The sequence below is a fragment of the Homo sapiens genome, chromosome 10 (assembly GCF_000001405.40).
Source record: "Homo sapiens chromosome 10, GRCh38.p14 Primary Assembly".
Classification (NCBI taxonomy): Eukaryota; Metazoa; Chordata; class Mammalia; order Primates; family Hominidae; genus Homo; species Homo sapiens.
Window position 1 is genome coordinate 7277877 of NC_000010.11, and position 22350 is coordinate 7300226.

Consider the following 22350-nt stretch of genomic DNA (forward strand, 5'->3'; position numbering starts at 1 on the left):
TTTTAATTTCTTGCATGTCTGCTTTTTAGCATGAAGCGATCTATTTTGATCCTCATAGCTTTTGAACTCACCTTGAGCTTTAAGCCCCTGTTTCCGCAGTTTATTCAGTCATAATTACAGTAAGTATCAGATCCTGCCAGAACTAGCCAAGCCATCGGTGCACTGCCCGAAGTCATTGTTACTTACACAAAGACACACAAAGGGTAATTCACAACCACACATCCTCTGCGTGTGTGCATTGTCTATAATCCTTTCTAGTGTTTCCTGTCTGCTGAACTTTTTTCTTCTAGTTTGGCCTTTCTAAATTCTTCTTAGTAGTAGCTAACGTAATTGGGAACACTCAATGGGCCTCAACACACACTTCTGTGGAGACTGAAAGAATGGGGCCTCTGATGTCCACAGTGAGAAGGGGGCACTCAGGAAGACACTGCTTATCACAGGATCCCCAAAAGTAGGCACAGGGACCAGTTCACAGAGCCCCCTGCAAGCTGCTCCATGAGAGCGAGAGGGATACCTGTGCACTCAGGCAAGCTCGTGGGCACTGCATCCAAACCACGGAGAGACAGAAGGCCACTCAGGGGACCCCGGGGAGCAAAGCCCTGAGGACGCCAACGCAGGATCAGGAGAGAAATTGCCAACAGGCTGGAGCTCCTGATGGGACAGGGACCATAAACACATGCCCCTTTCCAGCAAGCTGGGCAGGCAGATGGAGAGTTCAACCTGGGCATGGTAGGAAAAGGACCAGCTCACAGAAAACAATGGGGATTACCAAAGAAAGAATTTGAAGACCCAACAGGTGCAAAAAGGAAAAGCATGATCTACCTGGCTGACACCTTTGGCCCCTTGCTTGGGAATCAGGACTAGTTATACCCTTGACCCTTGATGGTGGTCTCTGAATGGGGGAGGGATGCCCTGAGACAGAAGAGAAGGTATAAGAATGGTCAAAAAACACCTTCATTGGGAGGCTGAGGTGGGTGGATCACTTGAGGTCAGGAGTTCAAGACCAGCCAGGCCAACATGGTGAAACCTCACTTCTAATAAAATTTAAAAAAACAAAACAAAACAAAAACAAAAATTAGCTGGGTGCGGTGGCAGGCGTCTGTAATACCAGCTACTCGGGAGGCTGAGGCAGGAGAATCGCTTGAACCCTGGAGGCGGAGGTTGCAGTGAGCTGAGATTGTGCCACTGCACTGCACTTCATCTCCAAAAAAAAAAACCAAACAAACAAGAAAAAAAAAACTTAAGGCCAGGAGGAATGGAAATCCAACATGACCAGGGTTAGATCCAAGCTATGAGAACTCACGGAGAGGATGCTCTGGCCCCAGTGGGGTTGCCTGCACGCTGGCCCAGGAAGGCAGACCAACCAAGTCATCCCTGAAAAATGAACTCCTCTGTCCACTGGATGCCATCTCTCCTCCTCCACACCAGAGACAAAGGTAACAAGAAGCCCAGGTGCCAGGTGGGTCCTGCCTCTGTCCTACAACCTGAAGATTCTCTGTTTTCTTTCCAATGGTGTTAAATCCTGGAATGAACCCAGCCCACAGCAAGGCAGACTTCTTTCATGAAAAGGTGAAAATCAACTGCAGTTTTGACAGCCTGACACAACCAGCAGAGAACAACAGTCCCCATGTGCATTCCGTGAGATGGAGTCATGCTGGTTATACTAGCAAGTTAATGGACAATAAATAGTACCATTCAAAGAACATCGACCATTTTCTTAAAATGATCGTGTTGCAGGTAACTGAATAAAGTAAATCATGCCAGTTTCTGTTTCTGGGAAGGTCGTGAGCAATTAAAACATGTCCCGATTCCTCTGAAACTAGAAGCCTACAAGAAAAACGAGGCAATCTCCTTTTGTGCAAGGGTTTGATGGGGCATTTCCTAATAAGTGCCACAGGAAGCAGTAATGCATAACATAATCATCAATAAACAAAGACCTAGAGAAACAACTCTTCTTTTATCCACCTCCCTCCAAAAAACTTCTATGTCCTTCTGCTCCTCCAGGTCCTATCCAGTGAAGAAAGATGAATCTATGTTGTTAAAAGATAGTAAACGTCAGAGAAAGTGTTATGGACTAAATGTTTCTCCTCACAATTCTTACTTGAAGCCCTAACCCCAAAGGGATGCCTTTGGGAGATGATTAGAGTTAGATGGAGTTATGAGGGTGGGGTCCTCAAATGAGATCTGTGTCCTTATAAGAGACACCAGAGTTCTCTCTTGATCTACTATGTGAGGACACAGTCAGAAGGCGGCTGTCTGCAAACCAGGAAGCGAGCCCTCCTGGGACCTCAACTACACTGGCACCCTGATCTCACACTTCCAGCCTCCAGATCTCTGAGAAGTAAATGTTTGTTGTTTAAGCCATAAAGCCTGTGGCATTTTGTTATGGCAGCTTGAACAGATTAATGTAGTCCAACTCACTTTTGGACTAAGTAATAGTTCAGGCAGAAAGTATTTAAGTTGGATTCAGAAACTTCCTGACTCCAAGATCTAAAACAAGCACTAAAAAAATGGGGGGAGGGGGTGATAAAATAATTTTGAAGGAAAAAAACAAGGGAATAAATTCTAGAAATAGAGAAAGAAAAAGAAACTCAAAAAGTTTCATCTCCTTAGCATCTGCAAGAATATCTAAAAGTCTATCTTATTTTCTAAACATCCAGAAATAGGAGAGCAGGTGGGCTTCTTAAACGACCCTAACCTCAATGACGTACTTACATTCCTTGGAAAATCAAAGTACAACCTTAAGACTCTGATCACAGATTAAATGTCTAGAAAAGGCCAATCTCTTGATATACATTACACCACTCAGCAGCCCAGCAAGATATCCTTATCCCCATGGTACAGGGTAAGGTGGTTTCTTTCCCCTCCTCCTTCCCCAAGCACCAGAATGCTATTTCCTCTGATTCAGGGCAAAAAGAGAAAGGCTCAATGGCCCTGTGTTTCTCAGAGGTGGAGAGTATAAAATCTAGTTCCTTTTCCCAGGTTTTTGAAGGCTAACTTCCTAGCTACTTTCTATGACCCATTTCTCTTCTATTTTGCTGAACAGTTGAGAAATACTGTACCCTTTAAAGAGTAAAACAAGGGCCACGTGGAGTGGTTCATGCCTGTAAGCCCAGCACTTTGGAAGGCTGAGGTGGGCAGGTCACCTGAGCTCAGGAGTTCAAGCCCAGCCTGAGCAACATAGTGAGATCCCATCTCTACAAAATAAGAGATTAAAAAATTAGCCAGGGATGGTGGCACATGCCTGTAGTTCCAGCCACTTGGGAAGCTGCGATGGGAAGATCACTTGAACCTGGGAGGTTGAGGCTGCAATGAGCCGAGATCATGCCACTGCACTCCAGCCTGGGAGACAGAGTGAGACCCTGTCTCAAAAATAAATAAATAAATAGTAAGTAAAACTAAAGGATGATTATTTTTAACAATGGTGGTGGTGTTAGTGGGAGTGCAGAGCAGATGGTCCCGGCAGCAGGGAAGAGCTCGTGGGGAGTATGCTCTTCTCCCCTGCACACCCCCCTCCCACTGGACTTCTCCCCATCGGTCATGGAAGCAGAACACTTTCCAGTGCCTTCATAGTGTTTGGGAAAACGAGAAAATCGGCCTAGTATTTTCTATGCAGGTATGAAGTTTTATTCTCGCCTAGATTCCAGTTAAGGAAGTGGTGCTACCACGTAAGTCACACAAGTCACCGTGGGACTTGAAATCAATTTATACAAATACAAAGTACTAGAATCTGTCCCCATGTGTACAACAGGGGTAGTACAGCCTCTCTTCCCAGGGATGCTGTTCTGCTGAATGATGTAGCAGAATCCAGTTTCCATCTTGAAACTACTGGATCTGAGGAACTCAAAATCACACTTTTGGAGTGTCTTGTCACTTTTTAGTTTCTTCTTCCTGTACATAACCTTTCCTGTTGATGATTTAAATATCGGGGAAGTAAGTTCTTGATGATGAATGTCTTTTCCAGAATCTTTTTTTTGTTTGTTTGTTTTCACAGAGTCTCACTCTGTCACCCAGGCTGGAGTGCAGCAGAGCAATCTTGGCTCACTGCAGCCTCCTCTCCTGTGATCAAGCGATCCTCCCACCTCAGCCCCCTAAGTAGCTGGGACTACAGGTGCATGCCACCATGCCTAGCCAGTTTTTTCTATTTTTTTCAGAGACAGGGTTTCACCATATTGCCCCAGCTGGTCTCCAACTCCTGAGCTCAGGCGTGAGCCATCATGCCCTGCCTGTTCCAGAATCTTCAGGGGCCCCCAAGAAGTCTTCAGTTAAATGAACAACTCATTTCCAGAAAATGCTAAGACAAGTAAACACAATTTATTCATATATTATAAAGACCCCAAATTATCTAAAGAGGGAGACAGCTCATAAGCGAGTATTTCCTAAGCTTCCACGGAGGCATGTTCCATTCCTGCTCGTGAGCGTGAGTCCCATAACTTCCCAGGAAAGAAACATCACAGAGAACATAAGAAGCCACTAGTCATCCTTTGCTTTGCTGTAAATTTGTACACTGGCAAGTAGATATTGCTCCTAAAATTTATAAAGCAATTAGATACTAAGCAGAGATGTATACACACAACTTTACGCACAAAGTAAATTTTTCCTGCTGGGTTATGAATCCCAGGGCAAACCCGGGCTTACATCCTTCTTCACAACACGACAGGCTCTTTGTTTGTCATCAGAGTCAAAAATTACTCAGGATAGAGATGGAGGTGTTGGCTGCTTCTCAACATTTTGACAGCAATAATACTAATAAAATACCACATTACGCGTCTCTAAGCCTGTCAAACTTAATGCAAATGCAAACACACGGGACACAGGACCAGGAAGTGTTTTCAATTAGAGCCTCTGAGTGACAGAAAAGATAAATATAACTCCTCTCCTTCATGTACTCAACACTAACATCGGCAACTAATATGGGAGGAAATTCTCTGGTGATTTTAATAAAGCAAAGAGCCATGTCCTTATTCCAAATACAGCTACAAAACTCACCGGAATGAAGATTCACCAATTTCTGAAAAAATACGTACTTCCTCCTTGGCATCTCTAATTCTACAAGAATCCAGTATTTCTGTTCTGAGGTTTCCCATTCAAAGGCCGGTAAGAGGAGGCCGGTAAGAGGGGTGGGAGGGGCCCAGCACCTGGGAATCTGAATTGCACTGCCTGTCCCTTAAAACAGGGGACCTTGGACAACTAGCTGAACTCCAGTCTCAATTTTCTCTACTGTGAAATGAAATTCACAACAAACATGCAGCATTTTTTTAGAATCAAAACAAACAATGTACCAGATGTAAAATCACCTGGCACATAGTAAACATTCAAGAATGGTTATTTTGTAAATACGCTGATTTTTAACTAGGTAGGTATGACAGAGAGCATAAGGCAGGATTCTTTCCAATTAAGCCTCTGCAAAGCCATTTGACAGTGCATTTGAAGCTAACTAAAATCTTACATGCCAGGAGAAAACATGATGGTCTATCTACTCAATGCTGCTTCTTGGTCAGACTGGATTGTGGTTTGGATATTTAGATGGATGGATGAATGGATGGTCAGATAAATAGATGAATGCTGGATGGATAGGTGGATGAATGGATGGATGAATAGATAAATGGATAGATGGGTGGATGAGTAGGTGGATGGATTGGTGAATGGACAGACTGAGAGATGGGTACACAGATGGCCAGAGATTTCGGAACCTACTTACAAGACTATCAAAATTCCTAAAGAAAAACGTGGAGAATATCCTCAAGTCTCAATCTACTGTGTCTTTCCTTTCTGAACCAGTGATTCCCAAGGAACTAGATCAATTTCCCTAAGGCCTCTAACATTGCTTTCTCCTTTGAGAACACTATTGATTGAGGTCTTAGGTTTTAGTCTCTATGGAAAGCATTGTGAAGTTAAAGTGCTTAATATTCACATACTCAGATATAAAAGATACCAGAAAGCTCATACATTTTCTAGAAACACATCCAGGAAAATATCACATCTTTTTCTAAAATACTTTACAGCAGCAAAAGCTTTGGCCCTTACCTGAAGGTGGGTCCATTCTGTATTTATTCTCTTGACACCAACCAACTGGTCGAAGTCTGTAATCCAAGTAAAACAACCACTGGTCATAGGATTCAGTGTCCTCCAATCCCACATAGCGAAGGCGTAATCTTCCTCCAACATTTTCAATCACACTAACTATCCAGTACTGAAAAGGGTTCTGGGAATCCTGAAGTTCTATTAAGGAACCAACTGTAATGAGGTCTATAGGGCCTTTCCCTCGCAGAGGCTGTTTAAACAGAAGCAAAACTCCTTATTTTAAACTTTATTTTAAGGTTCTCATGGAAACAGATGACAGCAGAAGATAATATTTTTTCACACCATCATCCAAGGTACTGGCGAACAGTCTGGCGTTCCCTCCACCCCATCCTTGCCCAGCCCATGCCCCACCCCTTCCCTTTCCTCCCTCCCACACATCCATGTACCCCATTCCGTATCCAACAACAAAAAAATCACAAGTCAATAGAAAATAACAGTTTGTGCTAAGTTCTCACCAAACAAATCACCCTTCCCAGATAAAATTGCTTTTGTTAACAATCAGTATGCTTTTAAGAAGAGTTCTACCCAAATTTGCCTGGACCTAGAAAACGTGGTAGCAAACGGTCTACTTTTCCAACAGACAGATAATTCTAATACAGAGCATTCAATTTACACCATGACGGTTTCCCAGACATTCATCTTACTCTACTGGCCGCTACTCTAATGACCAAAATGCTCTCATACTTTGATTATGTGACGAAGGCATGAGTGTGTGTCAATGACATGTCTAACACACAGTAATGATCAGCTAAATTAGACTACTATGTAAAATTATTTCTACACTTAAGCTGGTAATTGGTTTACAGAATGTATAATTACTGCCCCTTCTAAGAAACCTTCTTAGCCTATGATAGCATATGAAAAGGGTGTTTGTTCAGCCAGCTTTGTAGGCAAATATGTTTTAGAAAATTAACATAGTGAGACAATTTGTCCTTTTGAAAGGATGAACTATCATCATTTTGATTTGTTAATGAACAATTAAAATAGTATCTCTAATGATATATAACAAATACATCAGGCAAAATCTTCACAAAACAAAACCCGTTAACTATATTAGACTATGACGTTCTAAAATGTCAATATCATTTATGAAAAGAGGGAAAGTTTAAGGTTAAGAGAATATGATACTGTCAAAATCCACACCTTATTACTTGTTATTCATTAAGTTTTCCCCTTTTTAGGGGCATTCTTAAGAAAAACAGACTAGGTAATTCAATAATTACTTATGACACAGTGCCTTTCTCTTCCTGTTCCATTATACAAATACAAATACTACATATACATACTAAGATGTTTCAACATAAAATTATTTTCAAATAAACCATCAAGATTTCAGATTAAACTATGTTTTCTTCAATACATTAAAATTTCCTTGGCTACACTGAAATACGATCTGCCATTTCTCCTCTTGTTTTTACAAGAGAAGTTAATTCAATTATTGGTTAACGTGTGTATGTTCAAATCTTGGGGTTATGCGTCAAAATAGAACATTTAATGGAACGACTTATCAATGTACTCCAAGAGACTATATTAGCACATACATGATCTTGTCACCTGTTCAAAACAGTGATTCTACAGGATTTGATTTATATTCACTCACATAGGAAAGAGGCTTAAAGATATAGGACAGTAGGAAGACATCCTAGCATATTGTGATTTAAAAATTGGATTCACATAGAGCAAATTTTCCATTTGCTGATTGCATCACAGGGGAAGTTTCATCAATGCCATTCAAATCAGTCACCTAAGTAATTCAGGACAAAAGAGGAAGGGAGGCTATTTGGATGGCAGTGTCTGCAGAAAGCACGCATCTGCTGAAGGATATATGCAAAGGTGCTGTCAGGTCTGAGCTCACGTAACTGGGGTGCTTCAGAGATACATTAGATGTATAACAACAATACATACACCTTCCAGGAGGTTGGCGGGTGCTGTCCTCGAACCAGTCAAGTCACGTATGAGAAATTCTGTCCAGTCTGTGTACTTCTCTTTGATTGCTGGCAAGACAAAGGAGAAAGAAAAACAAAACAAAACAAAAAAAACACTTCAACACAGCAGCAAAGTATCCAATCAACTTAAAATCACAGCAGTTTTCTCCATGTAGGTTTGATTTCAATGTTTTTCTTAACTTTCATCACCATGCTTAAGTAAATACTAAAACTGAGACTGAAAATGTGTCTCTAAGTAGCAACTTGACACATACCACATGCTTGGGCACCAAGGAGATGAAAGAATCCGAAGTCTTACAGCCTATTTAGAAACTTTTCACAAACCACAAAGAAATTATAAAGTGTACAATTCAGGAGGTTCCAAGGAGAGAGAAACCAGTGAGGCTAGGGAAATCAGAGAAAGGCTTTCCAGGTGGGAAAATCAAACCAGGCCCCGAATTACATGAACAGTTTATACAGTTTCAGAAGAAGAAGGAATTTGCAGAGAAATGGGCACAAAATAACAAGAGGGGTGGACTGAAGGTGAAATGGAGAAATAGAGAAATGGGGAGAATAAGTAGTCCCCTCCATATCCATGGGTTCCCCATCCCTGGGTTCAATTCAACTGAGCATCAAAAATATATGAAATAAAATGCATCTTTACTGAACATGTACACTTTTTTTTCTTATTATTCCCTAAAAACTCCAATGTAACAACTATTTACATAGTATCTACATTGTAGTAGGTACTATAAGTAATCCAGAGATGATTTAAGGTCTGCAGAAAGATGTACATAGGTTATGTGTGAACTATACTATTTTCTGTTCGAGACTTGATCATCTGCAAATTTTGGTATCCTTGGGGGTCCTGGAGCCAATCCCCCAACAGATCTCAAGGGACGACTGCACTGCAAATGGTCACACTAGGGCACACTCCAAGCGCACAGCACTGGGAAATAATACTGAGTGGTAGGAATAAACTATGGACACCCAGGAAGTCAACATAGACGCTTAACAAATGGGACATCTCTGTATAAAATGAATCTGGCAACAGTATAAGGGTTTGAATGGAAAGAAAAGAGTCTAAAAGCAGGGAAACTGAGGCTGTTTCAGTTATCCAAGTAGAAAAGTGATAGGACTCAAAATAGGGGTGACAGCCCTCTGAACAAGGAAGGAATGTATTTGAGGCATCTTTTTTTTTTTTTTTTTTTTTTGAGACAGAGTCTCGCTCTTTCACCCAGGCTGGAGGCAGTGGCGGATCTCAGCTCACTGCAAGCTCCGCCTCCCAGGTTCACGCCATTCTCCTGCCTCAGCCTCCCGAGTAGCTGGGACTACAGGCACCCGCCACCATGCCCGGCTAATTTTTTGTATTTTTAGTAGAGACGGGGTTTCACCGTGTTAGCCAAGATGGTCTCGATCTCCTGACCTCGTGATCCACCCGCCTCGGCCTCCCAAAGTGCTGGGATTACAGGCGTGAGCCACCGCACCCGGCCAAGGCATCTTTTGAAAAAGAAGTATCAGACTGTGGAGGGCAACATTCTACAAGTGCTTAGAACCCAAGACCTGAGGAAAGCATATCTCTTTGGCATGTCTCCCAAGCTACAGATCTTCAAAGGCCCCACTGGGCTACACCTGCATCCCTGAGGGACCTGAGCCTTCCCAGGGCACCAAGAGATGGATGTGCAAAGTCAGCATAAATGACAGCAAGACCCTAGCCCCAGATGAACCACCCATCACAGCCAGCCCTCCACGTGGGCAGCCCGGGCTCCACCCAGGACTTCACTCAGCCCCCATTTAAGGTCCAAGACCCAAGTAGTTTGTGCATTGTTTAGGTTCTTCAAAGGCTTGATGCAACCCTTCCGGCTCAAACCTAAAGCAGTGGAATTACTACAAAAGGGAAGTTGGCCATAAGGGTGTGGGGCAGATCTGGGCCCCAACGGGGGATCCACCATCACTGGATGCATGACTTTGAATAATTTACTCAATTTCTCTTAGACTCTTTTCTAGCCAATCAAAGGGTGCCAGGTTGCTAATGATATTTTGCTTATAAGGGGTGTTCTAAGGACTAAAGGACAGACATATGCAAATAAAATATAACCAACCCAGGTACACACCAACCAATTAATATTAGCTCTTGTTTTATTATAAACATACTAAATTATTACATATATCTTTTTAATCTGCTGGTTATTGATTATTCATACCCATGACTTCTAGATTGAAACTTCCAATGAGCTTTCACAGAACAGCCAGTAGAATGGAGACCAAGATACAAGCCAAGCAGTGGCCGGACCTGCTGCTTCATCACTAACGTGCCTCTCAGTCAACATCCGCCCACGCACAAGGATGATCATCACACCAAGAGCAAAACCAACATGCACGGAACTCAGGCAAACAAGGCCGAGTCCAGCTTTACCTTATATGGCAACGTCCCAGCCTCACCCCGCTTATAATAAAGAATAACTCATCTGTTTGTCCACTTTTATCACTAGATTTTTTCTCAAACAAAATGTCACCTTCCTTATTTTATACATACTCACATGGAAATACAAACACAAAAATATTGTACGCTCAGCACGTTGGGAGGCTGAGCATAAAACTGTGTTCTTGTGTTCTCTTCCTTCGTTATAGATGTAGTCATCATTCTTCAAAGGCTACACCCTTTTTAAAAGTGGCCCTCTTGCATGTCTAGGGTCACTGAGACGAAAACAAGATATACAAGCCAAATGAACTAAAATCTGGACTCATTTTATGCTTTACAAAGACCTTTCATTCACCCTGTTTTGTTCCTCCTAACTATGCTAACAGGTGCTTCTTCGTCATTAACTCTTGACCAAGTTCACGGAAAAAAATTAGAAACAGCGGCCAGGTGCGGTGGCTCACACCTGCAATCCCAGCACTTTGGGAGGCCAAGGCGGGTGGATCACAAGGTCAGGAGTTCAAGATCAGCCTGGCCAATATGGTGAAACCCCCCCCCCCATCTCCACTAGAAATAGAAAAATGAGCCAGGTGTGGTGGCAGCTATCTGTGATCCCAGCTACTCGGGAGGCTGAGCCGAAATCGTGCCACTGCACTCTAGCCTGGGCGACAGAGCGAGACACTGTCTCAGAAAAAAAAAAAAAAACTAGAAACAGCCTCAAGCCCCCAGGTGTTCAGAGCCCAATCTCACATGGAGTCTTTCCAGTAGATTCTCTGATTCTCCAAAGCTTTTGCAAACAGATAAATCAGTAATTTAAAATGCAGGCATGATGGAGATAATATGAAAATGACTCACATAAGTTTCAAGATTAGGACAAAATATACAACTGTACCCCATAAATATGCATTTCCTATCCCATTACAAAAGAAGAACAATTATTATAATCCAGCGATAAATGGTCCTGTGCCTAACACAGACGTCTATATCCACTACGGGAAGAAAGCTCTATTTTCCACAGGGTTGTTTCTAACATGCGTATAATCCAAGTTAACAGTTAAGTGAAAATTTTTAAAATATGCAAGCACCCTATGAAGTCACTGCACAATGCTGAAATTTAAACGGTCAAAGTCATAGCAAGGGAGCTCTAGGGACGGCTCTGACATTTACATCTTGCGAGCCTCAAGTTCCCAGAGGTCCTATAGCTTTCCTTTATATGTGTCTGCACAAGACTCAAGCAATCTTTTATGAGCCACAGACTACCTAAATGAATTGCTCTCCATGGTAGACGTATCTATAAAGCCATAAACGTATACAGACCACTTTAGGTTAAAAAGTAGAAAAGAAACGTTCTCAAGAATCTTGCTAATTTTATAAGAAAAACTATATCAGTTAACATTTAGCTCTCAAAGCTCTAATATTCAAATGTACCATAAACCTATTACAATAAATATTGCTATAAAATAAAAACTAAGTATAACCAATTTACAATTCCTAGACCATGGAGTTACCTTAACCACTGATTAATTCAGTTAAATTCTGGTAAATAAAAGTTGCCTTGCAAGTCCTTAGAATTCACTGCAATGGAAGCTAATTGGCATTGCTCAGTGTGACCATTTAAACTTCTAACTAGAAATTTTAAAACTATAAACTTTATTCTGCAGCACGTCTCTCTTCCAAGACTCCAACTCAGCACTCTCAGCTGTAAGCCAAATCCTTGTCTATGATCATTATCTTATTCTTCAAATTGAAGGACCAATCCACACATGAAACATCAGGAAACTCAAAACCTGCCCTGCGCCCAACTACGGCATCAAAGATGAACGCTACGACAGGAAAGAAATGATCAGGGAGAAAAACACTCTGCAATTTCAGGTGGAGGAAGGTTTACACACAACTTGGTAATCATCGCTCATGCTTTCAACTCATTAAGGCAAACTCCTAGAAAGTCATAAGAAACAAAAAAAAAAAAAAGAAAGAAACTTCTACCACATTCTCATGAACATTTTTTCAAGGTTTTACTTAGTTATAATATTATATAAGCATTCCACTACACCTTTTAAAAATCCAAGTTCCATTCCACTAATACCTCACTTTGGAGAAGTGCCCACATCACAGTGAAGGAAGGAATCATGAACTTGGGTTTCAGAACTCAAGTTCTGAGTTTGAGTTACACACACATATGCTTCTTGAGGACATTTAAAGATGGACCCAAATCCCACAAATGCTTTATTAGGATTATAAAGCTGCCGAGCTGGACATGGTGGCTCACACCTGTAATCCCAACACTTTGGGAGGCTGAGGCAGGAGGATCTCTTGAGGCCAGAAGTTCAAGACCATCCTGGGTAACACAGCAAGACCCCATCTCTACAATTTTTTTTTTAACTTAGCTGGGCATGGTAGTGGGTGGCTGTAGTCCCAGCTGCTTGGGAGGCTGAGGCAGGAGAATGGTGTGAGCCCAGGAGTTCGAAGCTGCAGTGGGCTATGATCACACCACTACACTCCAGCCTGGGTAACAGAGTAAGACCATGTCTGTAAAAAAAGAAAAAGAAAGCAAGCTATCTACAAATTGAGTCCCATATAAAGGCAGAAGATTAGCATCACTTTTTCAGAATTTGGGAAAATACCACTAATGTTGGATTTCAAGCCCCATCAAGTGCACATCCACATAGAGTCCAAAGCCGGGTCACCTCTCAGGGACGTGACCTGTGTAGACCGGGCTGTGAGTATAAAGCCCTTGGTCAGGGCTGCCCATGCAGGCAGATGATGAACAAGGAGACCCATGCTGGGGTCAGGAGGACAAGCACTGTCAGCCTAGGCTCCTCAATGCCTTCCCACATCACAGGAGAACAGACAGGTCTGCTGAGACCAGCTGCCCCAGGCCTACCCATTCTCTGAGAGATGGGGAGAGTAATTACAATGAAGAGAAAGGCCATTTTCACTCACACTCTAGCCCACAGGAAGGGAGTTTGAGTCCCATCCCTATGTGCTAGCATTTAAACACACAGGGTATTTCATTTTTTGTTGTCTTTCTGGGCAATTTTCTGAACTTACTTCCAATCAATGCTTCTTTGAATTCATTCCATGGGTCACAGTTTTCGTTTGCAATGTTTCTTTCTTGCTTTTGGTAGTTCCTTCCTTCTAAAACGTTTTCTTTAACAAGATGACCTTTTCAAAACCTCTCATTACGGAATAGGGTTCTCCTCCCCTATTCCCCGGGTCCTCTCTGATTCCTGGGGGCTGTTTTGTTGTTTCTTCATCTCATCCTGCCCTCTTTGATCAGAAGCTTTCCTGGAATATCTGGCCAACAATGCTCATGCATCATACTTAAATATGAAACAACAGAAACCTTGGAGAGGCTGGTGTCCTGGGCAGACGGGTCTGACTCAGAGAGTGGGCATGGGAGTAATTCCCCTTCTAAGAAGCCGCCTTCCAAACTAGCAACAGGGGTTCTCCCCAGACAATTCAGTCCATTTCTTCAGAGATGAGGCAGAGGGATAAATATATGGTTTCTAGTCCTTGGTTGTACCCACGGCAGGGGTGGAAGAAGGAGAGAATCCGTGAAGTGATCTGACTATAGGCATCCCATGGAACCCTGTGATTTTCAGCCCCACGTGGGACTCCTACCCACCCAGCATTCAGTCTCCAAGGTGAGCCTCCCCAGCTGCAGCCCCCACACTAATTTAGTAGTCACATAGCCTTATCAGCTTGCAGGCTGCCAGAAACATTGTAAAATCCCTTTTCCATGCTGGTGGCCTTTAAGTTCTTTGTGTTGTTGATATATGTACTTTTTATTTTTCCCTACCATTTTAATGGGGTCTCTGGAGGAAAAAGAGGTAAATAAGAGTGCTTAATCCACTGAAACTCCTCCCAGCTCACAAGAGAACCGAGCCTTCTCAACCAGATGTCAGGTAGCAGCCTTTGACTTCTCAGGGGAAGCCTTTTTTAACACTGACTTTGCTAAAGAAAAAAGGAGGCAACAGTACACCTTGAATGATAAATGGAAGCACCTGCTCTTACTATTAAGAAAAAAAGATGACAGAGTTCTTTCCCTTGGAGATTTGTAAAGGAGAACCTACATTAATTTTTCATATAAGGTTCAAATTAGATTGTTCCTACAAACAAAAAGATAGATCATAAAATGATTCAACAGGATTGACAAGTTCCTAGTGCTACCTACTACTGAGGTTCAAACACATAGATAAAAGTATTGCTGTCTTTAATAATGAATGTAACCCAGATGAAGATATAACTTGTAAAGAATGTCAGAAAAATTACACTTACACACACACACATCCCTTAGTACCTGTCATATAAAGATTGTTGGAGGACAAGTTTCATTTCAACCTTTCAAAGACTCTTTCAGTTGTAAAAATACACTTCTATGATTAAGAAAAGAAATAGTATCATTTTGTTGTAAAGAATAAGATTTAGGTGGGGTGCGATGGCTCATGCCTGTAATCCCAGCACTTTAGGAGGCTGAGGCGGGCGGATCACCTAAGGCCAGGAGTTCAAGACCCGTCTCTACTAAAAATAGAAAAATTAGCCGGGCATGGTGGCAGGTGCCTGTAGTACCAGCTACTAGGAAGGCTGAGGCAGGAGAATTGCTTGAACCTGGAAGGATGCAGTGAGCCGAGATCGTGCCACTGTACTCCAGGCTGGGTGACAGAGCAAGGCTCCGTCTCAAAAAAAAAGAATAGGATTTAACAAAGACATTATCTAAGAATTGTTGGAAGCAAATGACACAGCCCTATCACAGTGATGACATTAGGGTGAAAGGAGTCTCACTCTGTCTGGAATGCAGTGGCGCGATCTCGACTCACTGCAACCTCCACCTCCTGGGTTCAAGCGATTCTCCTACCTCAGCCTCCCAAGCAGCTGGGATTACAGGCACCCACCACCATCTCCAGCCTCAGCTTCCCGAGTAGCTGGGACTACAGGCACGCCCTACCACATCCAGCTAATTTTTGTATTTTTAGAAGACACCGGGTTTCACCATGTTGGCCAGGCTGGTCTTGAACTCCTGACTTCAGGTGATCTGCCTGCCTCGGCCTCCCAAAGTGCTGGGATTACAAGTGTGAGCCACTGTGCCTGGTCAAAGTATTTTTTTTTAATGTGAAGGTAAAGCTAATGGGATTCGCTGATGGGCTACAAGAGAAGTAGAACACAGAAATGTCCCTGAGGCTTTCTGGCCCAAGCACTTGAAGAATGGAGTTGCCCTTTACTGAGATGAGGCAGATTCAAGGGATGCAAATACCAAGGGCAAGCTCCACTGGCCCTCATAGTCGTTAAGATCATTAAGATGACTATGAGATACTGCATCACAGCTAGACTGCATAATAAAGAGACCCAAAAACACAGCCACAGAGGTGCAAGCACAGTCAAAGTTCCTCTCTCTTTCTCTTTCTCTCTCTCTCTTTCTCTCCCTCTCTCTCTCTCTCATCCAAGGCAGGTGATATAGGGTGACACAGAGCTCTGCTTCCCAAGATATGTTAGGAACCCAGGGTCTTTCAATCCTGTCACTCTGCTCTAAGTGAGGGCAGGGAAACAGATGGTTCAGCACATCCCAGCCCATGGAAAGAGGGAAAGAACGTAAGCAAAGATGAACAATTTCCATCTCATCAGTTACGCTGATGTGTATCAGTGATGTATATCACAGACATCACTTCCTCGCTGGACATGGCCACATCTCATAGTACAATAGGAGGTACGTCCCAAAGGGACCCCAGGAGTCCTCTGGAGCAGTGAGCTAGGACAGAGCCCAGCTGGAGGTACTGAACCCACATTCATTCAGGTTCCCCATGAAATATGTACTTCCCCACTGCTAGGGTGGGGGAAGGTACTGTAATTACTGCTTATCCCCTAATATCATGGCTGTTTTCTATGCTTACAAGAAAGGAAACCCACAAAATGGAAGGATCCTTCCAATAAAAAGCACGCCAACTCACCCAGTGCATCTGTATGGGATAAAAGGATGAGACGTAAACCCTTGGTCCATGTACATCTCACCTTCCTCCAGTGAAACCTCATCCTAAACCTGTAATATATGATGTTGTAGAATTTATCTCTGACCCTAGCATGTAACAGTAGGACTGGGCAGAACCCACCTTGCATTGTACAAGTATCTAGACTCTATCTGGACAGCCATGTGCCCAGCTACATCTATTTCCAAGTAATACAAATATTTCAAGAAGGAAGGAATAATCAATCTTGTCAAATGCTGCTGATAGGACAAGTGAGGTGAAATCTGACATGAGACTCCTAATTTTTCTAACACTGTTACTATAAAATTAATTCTGATGGTTAATTTTTGTAACACTGTTACTCTAAAATTAATTCTGATGGTTAATTTTTGTAATATTGTTACTCTAAAATTAATTCCTAGGTGCAGAACAGCAAAGGACTTCCTAGTTATTGGCAAACTGCTCTCCAAAGTCATTCTTACAACCTCATCATCCCCAGTGCTCTCCGTCCTTGGGAGCATTTTATATAATCAGACTTCTTAAATTTTCACTAATCTGAAGCATATGAAACTGTCTTTTTCCTTTGCTTTTTTGTTTTACTCATCATCAGTGCTGTTTAGTATCATTACACTATGACAATTCAGGTTTCCCTTCTGGGAACTCCCTATTCACATCCCCTGTATACATTTCTCTATAGACTCTTTTTTATATATACTTGTTAACAGTTTATTTATCAAGAGAAACTATTTGTTAGCCCACATATCTATGCTTCATGGTTCAGAAACACAGGTCAGTGACAAACTTCTAGGTAATTCAACCCAAATAAATTCCTTATATTCCAAAATTACATTGCATCCTGAAAGATGCTAGCCTTCCTCATCTCCTCAAAATCTTCCATAGAATTATAATTCTTGTAGAAGTCTGCATCTGCCTTTTTCCTTGGTTCAGCCACAGCAAACTGAGACAAAGCTGCAACCCCCAGAAATACGACGAACGCTCCAACATGTTTGTGTTCCTGTGTCTACGGTATTCGTCTGGCTGTCCACTCCAGGAGACTGGGACCACCCATGCCCACTGTGTCCAAAACCACACACCCAACACCTCCAACAACTGGCCAACAAATAATAGGTTACACCTCCAACAACTTGTAGGCCACAGACGAACTTGTGTCACAGGAAGGAAAGACTGGCAGACTTAGACGGCTTTAGGAATTGTGTCTGTTTCACTAATCTTTTGATGACATACAACTTGCTGAATTCAGATTAAGAGCGACTGTTACCATAATATTCATTGCACAGACCTTTCACTAAAATACAACTAACAGCACACCACAAGCATTCACAAATGTACTGCCATTTCTTTTTATTTTTTATTTTTTTGTATTTGCATAGTTTGTAACTGCTTACATAAGTGAATTATCACTTTCAGTGTTCGTTTCAGCATGTGTAACCTAGAAAGCCAGGTATCAGTCCATTTAAGTGTTTTGGCACTTAGTATCTTGTGTGGTAAAGACACTCAGTTAATATTTTTCTGGAGTTCTCTGCTGTATGATTAGCCCCTTAGGTAACACCAATACTGTTCATTTCAGACAAGGGAAACACTCAGAGATGAAAGAAAATTCAGGTACTACACAACAGGACTTTAATCCCAAAAGACCTAACGCTTTCTCTGAAGTTCCCAAGAAGATCTTAGCACTAGAAACAACCAGGATTTGCTAAAGAAATGCCACAGAGATGGAAACCATTTACGACTTTCTCAAAGCACACAACTCACACCACTCTGCAAGGTATCTTTAAAAGTCTACAAGATAAATAACCTCTAAAACTATCAGATGAAATTTAACACCTTGTCACTGTTCACTGGCTAAAGAATTTTACCCAATAAAATATGGAATCTCTCATTCTTGCCCATTTTCTCCAGTCCTTCTCTAGCTGCCAATAGCTCACTTTCACAGATGTTACTGCTCCTGCTTTAAACATTTTCCTGCTTTTAAAGAATTACCTTCCAAAGAGTCAGCCACTTTTCTTCCATTCTCCACTAAAAAGAAAAAAAACTAATTCTTACAGTTCTTTTTATTAGCTCCCTCTGCAGAAAAACTGTCAAGACTGAATTGACATATCACACAGGTCCAGGGCTCTAAGTTCAATGGAATAAGACACTTGCTTGTTAAAGATTTTATTCTCCTAGGTCTCACTCTATTTTTCATACTTGACTTGCTTCTTCCTGTAAAGTTACTTTCTTTCCTGAAGCAAAAGAACTTCCATTCAAATTTTTCCCAATATTCCCGTTAGGTCTATGAGAAAGAGACAAACTTGCAGAAAGTTTACATTAACATGCCCTTAGGTATCTGACAAAATGAGTTGGCCTCTTGTTCAACAGTATTTAGGTTGCTGTCTGTGATGGTTAATTTTATGTCACCTTGCCTGGGCCACAGTGCCCAGATATGTGGTTGAATGCGACTCCGGATTTTTCTGGGAGGGTGATTTTGGGTGAGATTAACATTTTAATTGCTGGGCTTTGAGTAAAGCAGGCCGTCCTCCCTGACGTGGGTGGGCCTCACCCAATCAGTTGAAGGCCTGGCTACAACAAAAGACTGACCTCCCCTGAGCAAGAGGGAATCCTCCAGCAGGCGGCCTGCAGGTTCCATCACAGCAGCGGCTCTTCCTGGGTCTAAAGCAGACGGCCTTGGACTGGAACTGCAACTCTTCCCTGAGTCCCCTGCCTGCTGGCCTGCCCAGTCAGAGCTCAGACTCACCACACCTCCACAGTCATGAGAGTATCTATATATACACACATTCTATTGGTTCTACTTCTTTGGAGAATCCTAACACATTGCCCTACCGTTACTTTTCTAAAGGTTCAGCAGGCAAAAAGAATAAAAACACTCCTAGAAAAGGGAAAACAGCAATGAATCAGTCATCAGACAGCTCTTGCAGGCCATGCCTTTGAGAGTGCACAGAAGGAAGACTGAGCTGGCCTTGCACTCACTGAGAAAGCTGCAAAACACAGGAAATGGCAGGCTCCAGATGGCACTACCTGGGTTGGAGTCCCAGCTACAACCACATTGGCTGTGTGACATCAGAAAGGCTGCCTAACCTCTCCAGGTGTGTTTCCTCACTTGTAAAACAAGCCTACTAGCTGGACCACCTGGTAGGGCCTCCTGAACACTAAGTGAAATAACCATGCACAAGAAGGTTCTCAGCACAGGGCTGGGCAGGGGCTCAGAGCTAAATAAAGGAAAAGAGGGAGAGAGAAAAGGAGGGAAAGGGCGAATGGGAGGGGGAGGAGAAGCAGGAGGAGGATGAGGAGGCCATCACGGGTGGGGGTAAAATGACCCCAACCACTCTGATGAGCTACTGCAGAGAAACAAGGCAATTTAAAAAACTAGTTGGAGAGATTTTCCTTAATGCTACATTTTAAAATTTTGAAACAAAAGCTAAACAGTTATCAAAGTCATGTAATTGCTTCAAATAGGAAGAGAAAACTGAATTCAGTGTTAAATTATAAATTCGCTATAAATTTTCACTTCACGACGACACACACATTCAGCACACGCAAGAGTGTGACCTGGGTGAAAATGTGGCCTCGACACCTGTATACCTGAGGATAGTATCTGCAATCCGTGTCTGCCTCCCACGCCCTCCCTGTTATCAGCACCCCCACCACCTCCACAGTGGGAGCACCACGGGCTGATGCACATTCTCCACTCAGGGGGCTCTCACTTTTGCCCAAAGGCAGAATCCACCATCACTGGGGCTCGCAGGTGAGGCCTGGAGGTGGTCGTGCTGCTGTTGGCTGCTCGCCCAGCACCCAGAGGCCCTCGCAGCTTGTCCTTCACCAATGAGTGCTAGATTTTTGGATCAGAAAATAATTGGAATTCCAAGCAACTGGAGAGATCCTGTCTCTTGGGATTCCCCTAACAGCCAGCCTCTGCAGGGTATGTCCAGGGAGCAGAAGAATGGTCAACACACTCTGTACTTGCAGCTTCTCCTTCGAGTCTCGCTCCAAACCCTGACCATGACGTCCACTCACTGTACTGAGCACCCCCTAGACAGACTGAGACCTCCACCCTGTGCACGTGATCTAGTCCAACTGATGCTCAGACTCTCCATCCTGGGTCACCACATGTGAACTGCTGGAATGTCACTTACCCAAAAGCCCAACAGCCAGGCCAGTTCCCTAGCTCCGGACAGGCCTATTCCTGAAGTCTCAGTCTGACCAGTTATTGCCTCCTCTAAACCAAAGGTTCTTAACTCATCAACAGGTCTGGGATGGACGCCCCAGGGATTATGAGCCCATACAATGAAATACAAGGCTGTGAAATATGTGTGAGTGTGTATGCATATGTCTGTATGTGCGTCTATGTGCATGCATGTGTATGTATATGTGTGTATGTATGTGCGTATGTGCATGTGTATACGTGTACTTGCATATGTGTGTGCATATGTGCGTATGTATGTGTGTATGTATGTATGTGTATATGTGTGTGTGCATATGTGTGTGTTCGTGTGTGTGTGTGTATATGTGTGTCTGTGTGTGTGGGTCTAAGACCTCTTCCAAGAAGCTTCATTGGATTCATCAAATTCTCAAAGAGCACCATGACCCTGAAAGGATTACGAACAACTACTGCATAGAAAATATTATTACATTAAAATGTAGCTTTGGGCTGGTCATGGTGGCTCACATCTGTAACCCCAGCACTTTGGGAGGCCAAGGCGGGTGGATTACCTGAGTTCAAGAATTCGAAAGCAGCCTGGCCAACATGGCGAAACCCCATCTCTACTACAAAATACAAAAATTAGCCCAAATCAACAGAATATACATTCTTCTCAGTGCCACATGACACTTATTCTAAAACCATAAAAACCCCGGAAGAAAACCTAGGCAATACTATTCAAGACACAGGTATGGGCAAGGACTTCATGACAAAAAAGCCAAAAGCAATTGCAACGAAAGCCAAAATTGACAAATAGGTTCTAATTAAACTAAAGAGCTTCTGCACAGCAAAATAAACTATCATAAGAGTAAAGAGGCAACCTACAAAATGGGAGAAAATTTTTGCAATCTACCCGTCTGACAAAGGGCTAATATCCAGAATTTATAAGGAACGTAAACATATTTACAAGAAAAAAACAACCCCATCAAAAAGTTGGCAAAGGATATGAACAGACACTTCTCAAAAGCAGACATTTACGTGGCCAACAAAGATATTTAAAAAAGCTCAACATCGCTGATCATCAGAGAAATGCAAATCAAAACCATAATGAGATACCATCTCATGCCAGTCAGAATGGTGATTATTAAAAAGTCAGGAAACAATAGATGCTGGCGAGGCTGTGGAGAAACAGGAACGCTTTTACGCTGTTGGTGGGAGTGTAAATTAGTTCAACCATTGTGGAAGACAGTATGGCGATTCCTCAAAGATCTAGAACCAGAAATATCATTTGACCCAGCAATCCCATTTATTTATATATTAAACATATGTGTGCATGTGTCTTTATAGTAGAATGATTTATATACCCAAAGGAATATAAATCATTCTACTAAGGAATATAAATCATTCTACTTTAAAGACACATGCACACATATGTTTATTGCAGCAGTATTTACTATAGCGAAGACATGGAGCCAACCCAAATACCCATCAATGGTAGACTCAATAAGGAAAATGTGGCACATATACACCATGCAGCCATAAAAAGGAATGAATACTATGCAGCCATGAAAAGGAATAAGATCATATCCTTTGCAGGGACATGGATGAAGCTGGAAGTCATCATCCTCAGAAAACTAACACAGAAACAGAAAACCAAACATCACATGTTCTCACTCGTAAGTGGGAGTTGAAGATTGAGAACACATGGACACAGAGAGGAGAACATCACACACCAGGGCCTGCTGGGGGATGGGGAGTGGAGGGGGAACGGAGGAAACTTAAGAGGACAGGTCAACAGGTACAGCA

General features: G+C 42.6%; 1 protein-coding gene and 1 pseudogene across 11 annotated transcripts in view; both read right to left on the reverse strand.

The window, feature by feature from the left end:
- The window catches only part of SFMBT2 (Scm like with four mbt domains 2), a 252867-nt gene that overhangs the window by 119253 nt on the left and 111264 nt on the right, over positions 1-22350 (reverse strand). For 6 of the 11 annotated variants that reach the window (NM_001029880.3, NM_001387889.1, NM_001018039.1 and 3 more), the window contains exons 5-6: positions 7990-8078; positions 6028-6274 (exon numbers count right to left, since the gene is read on the reverse strand). In NM_001029880.3, the coding sequence (NP_001025051.1) occupies positions 6028-6274; positions 7990-8078 (336 nt within the window). Of the gene's footprint in view, positions 1-6027; positions 6275-7909; positions 8079-12699; positions 12722-22350 lie in introns of those variants that run through there. The other 5 variants (NM_001387890.1, XM_047425570.1, XM_047425569.1 and 2 more) reach the window with 4 other exon arrangements.
- On the reverse strand, positions 17101-17397 carry COX6CP17 (cytochrome c oxidase subunit 6C pseudogene 17; annotated as a pseudogene).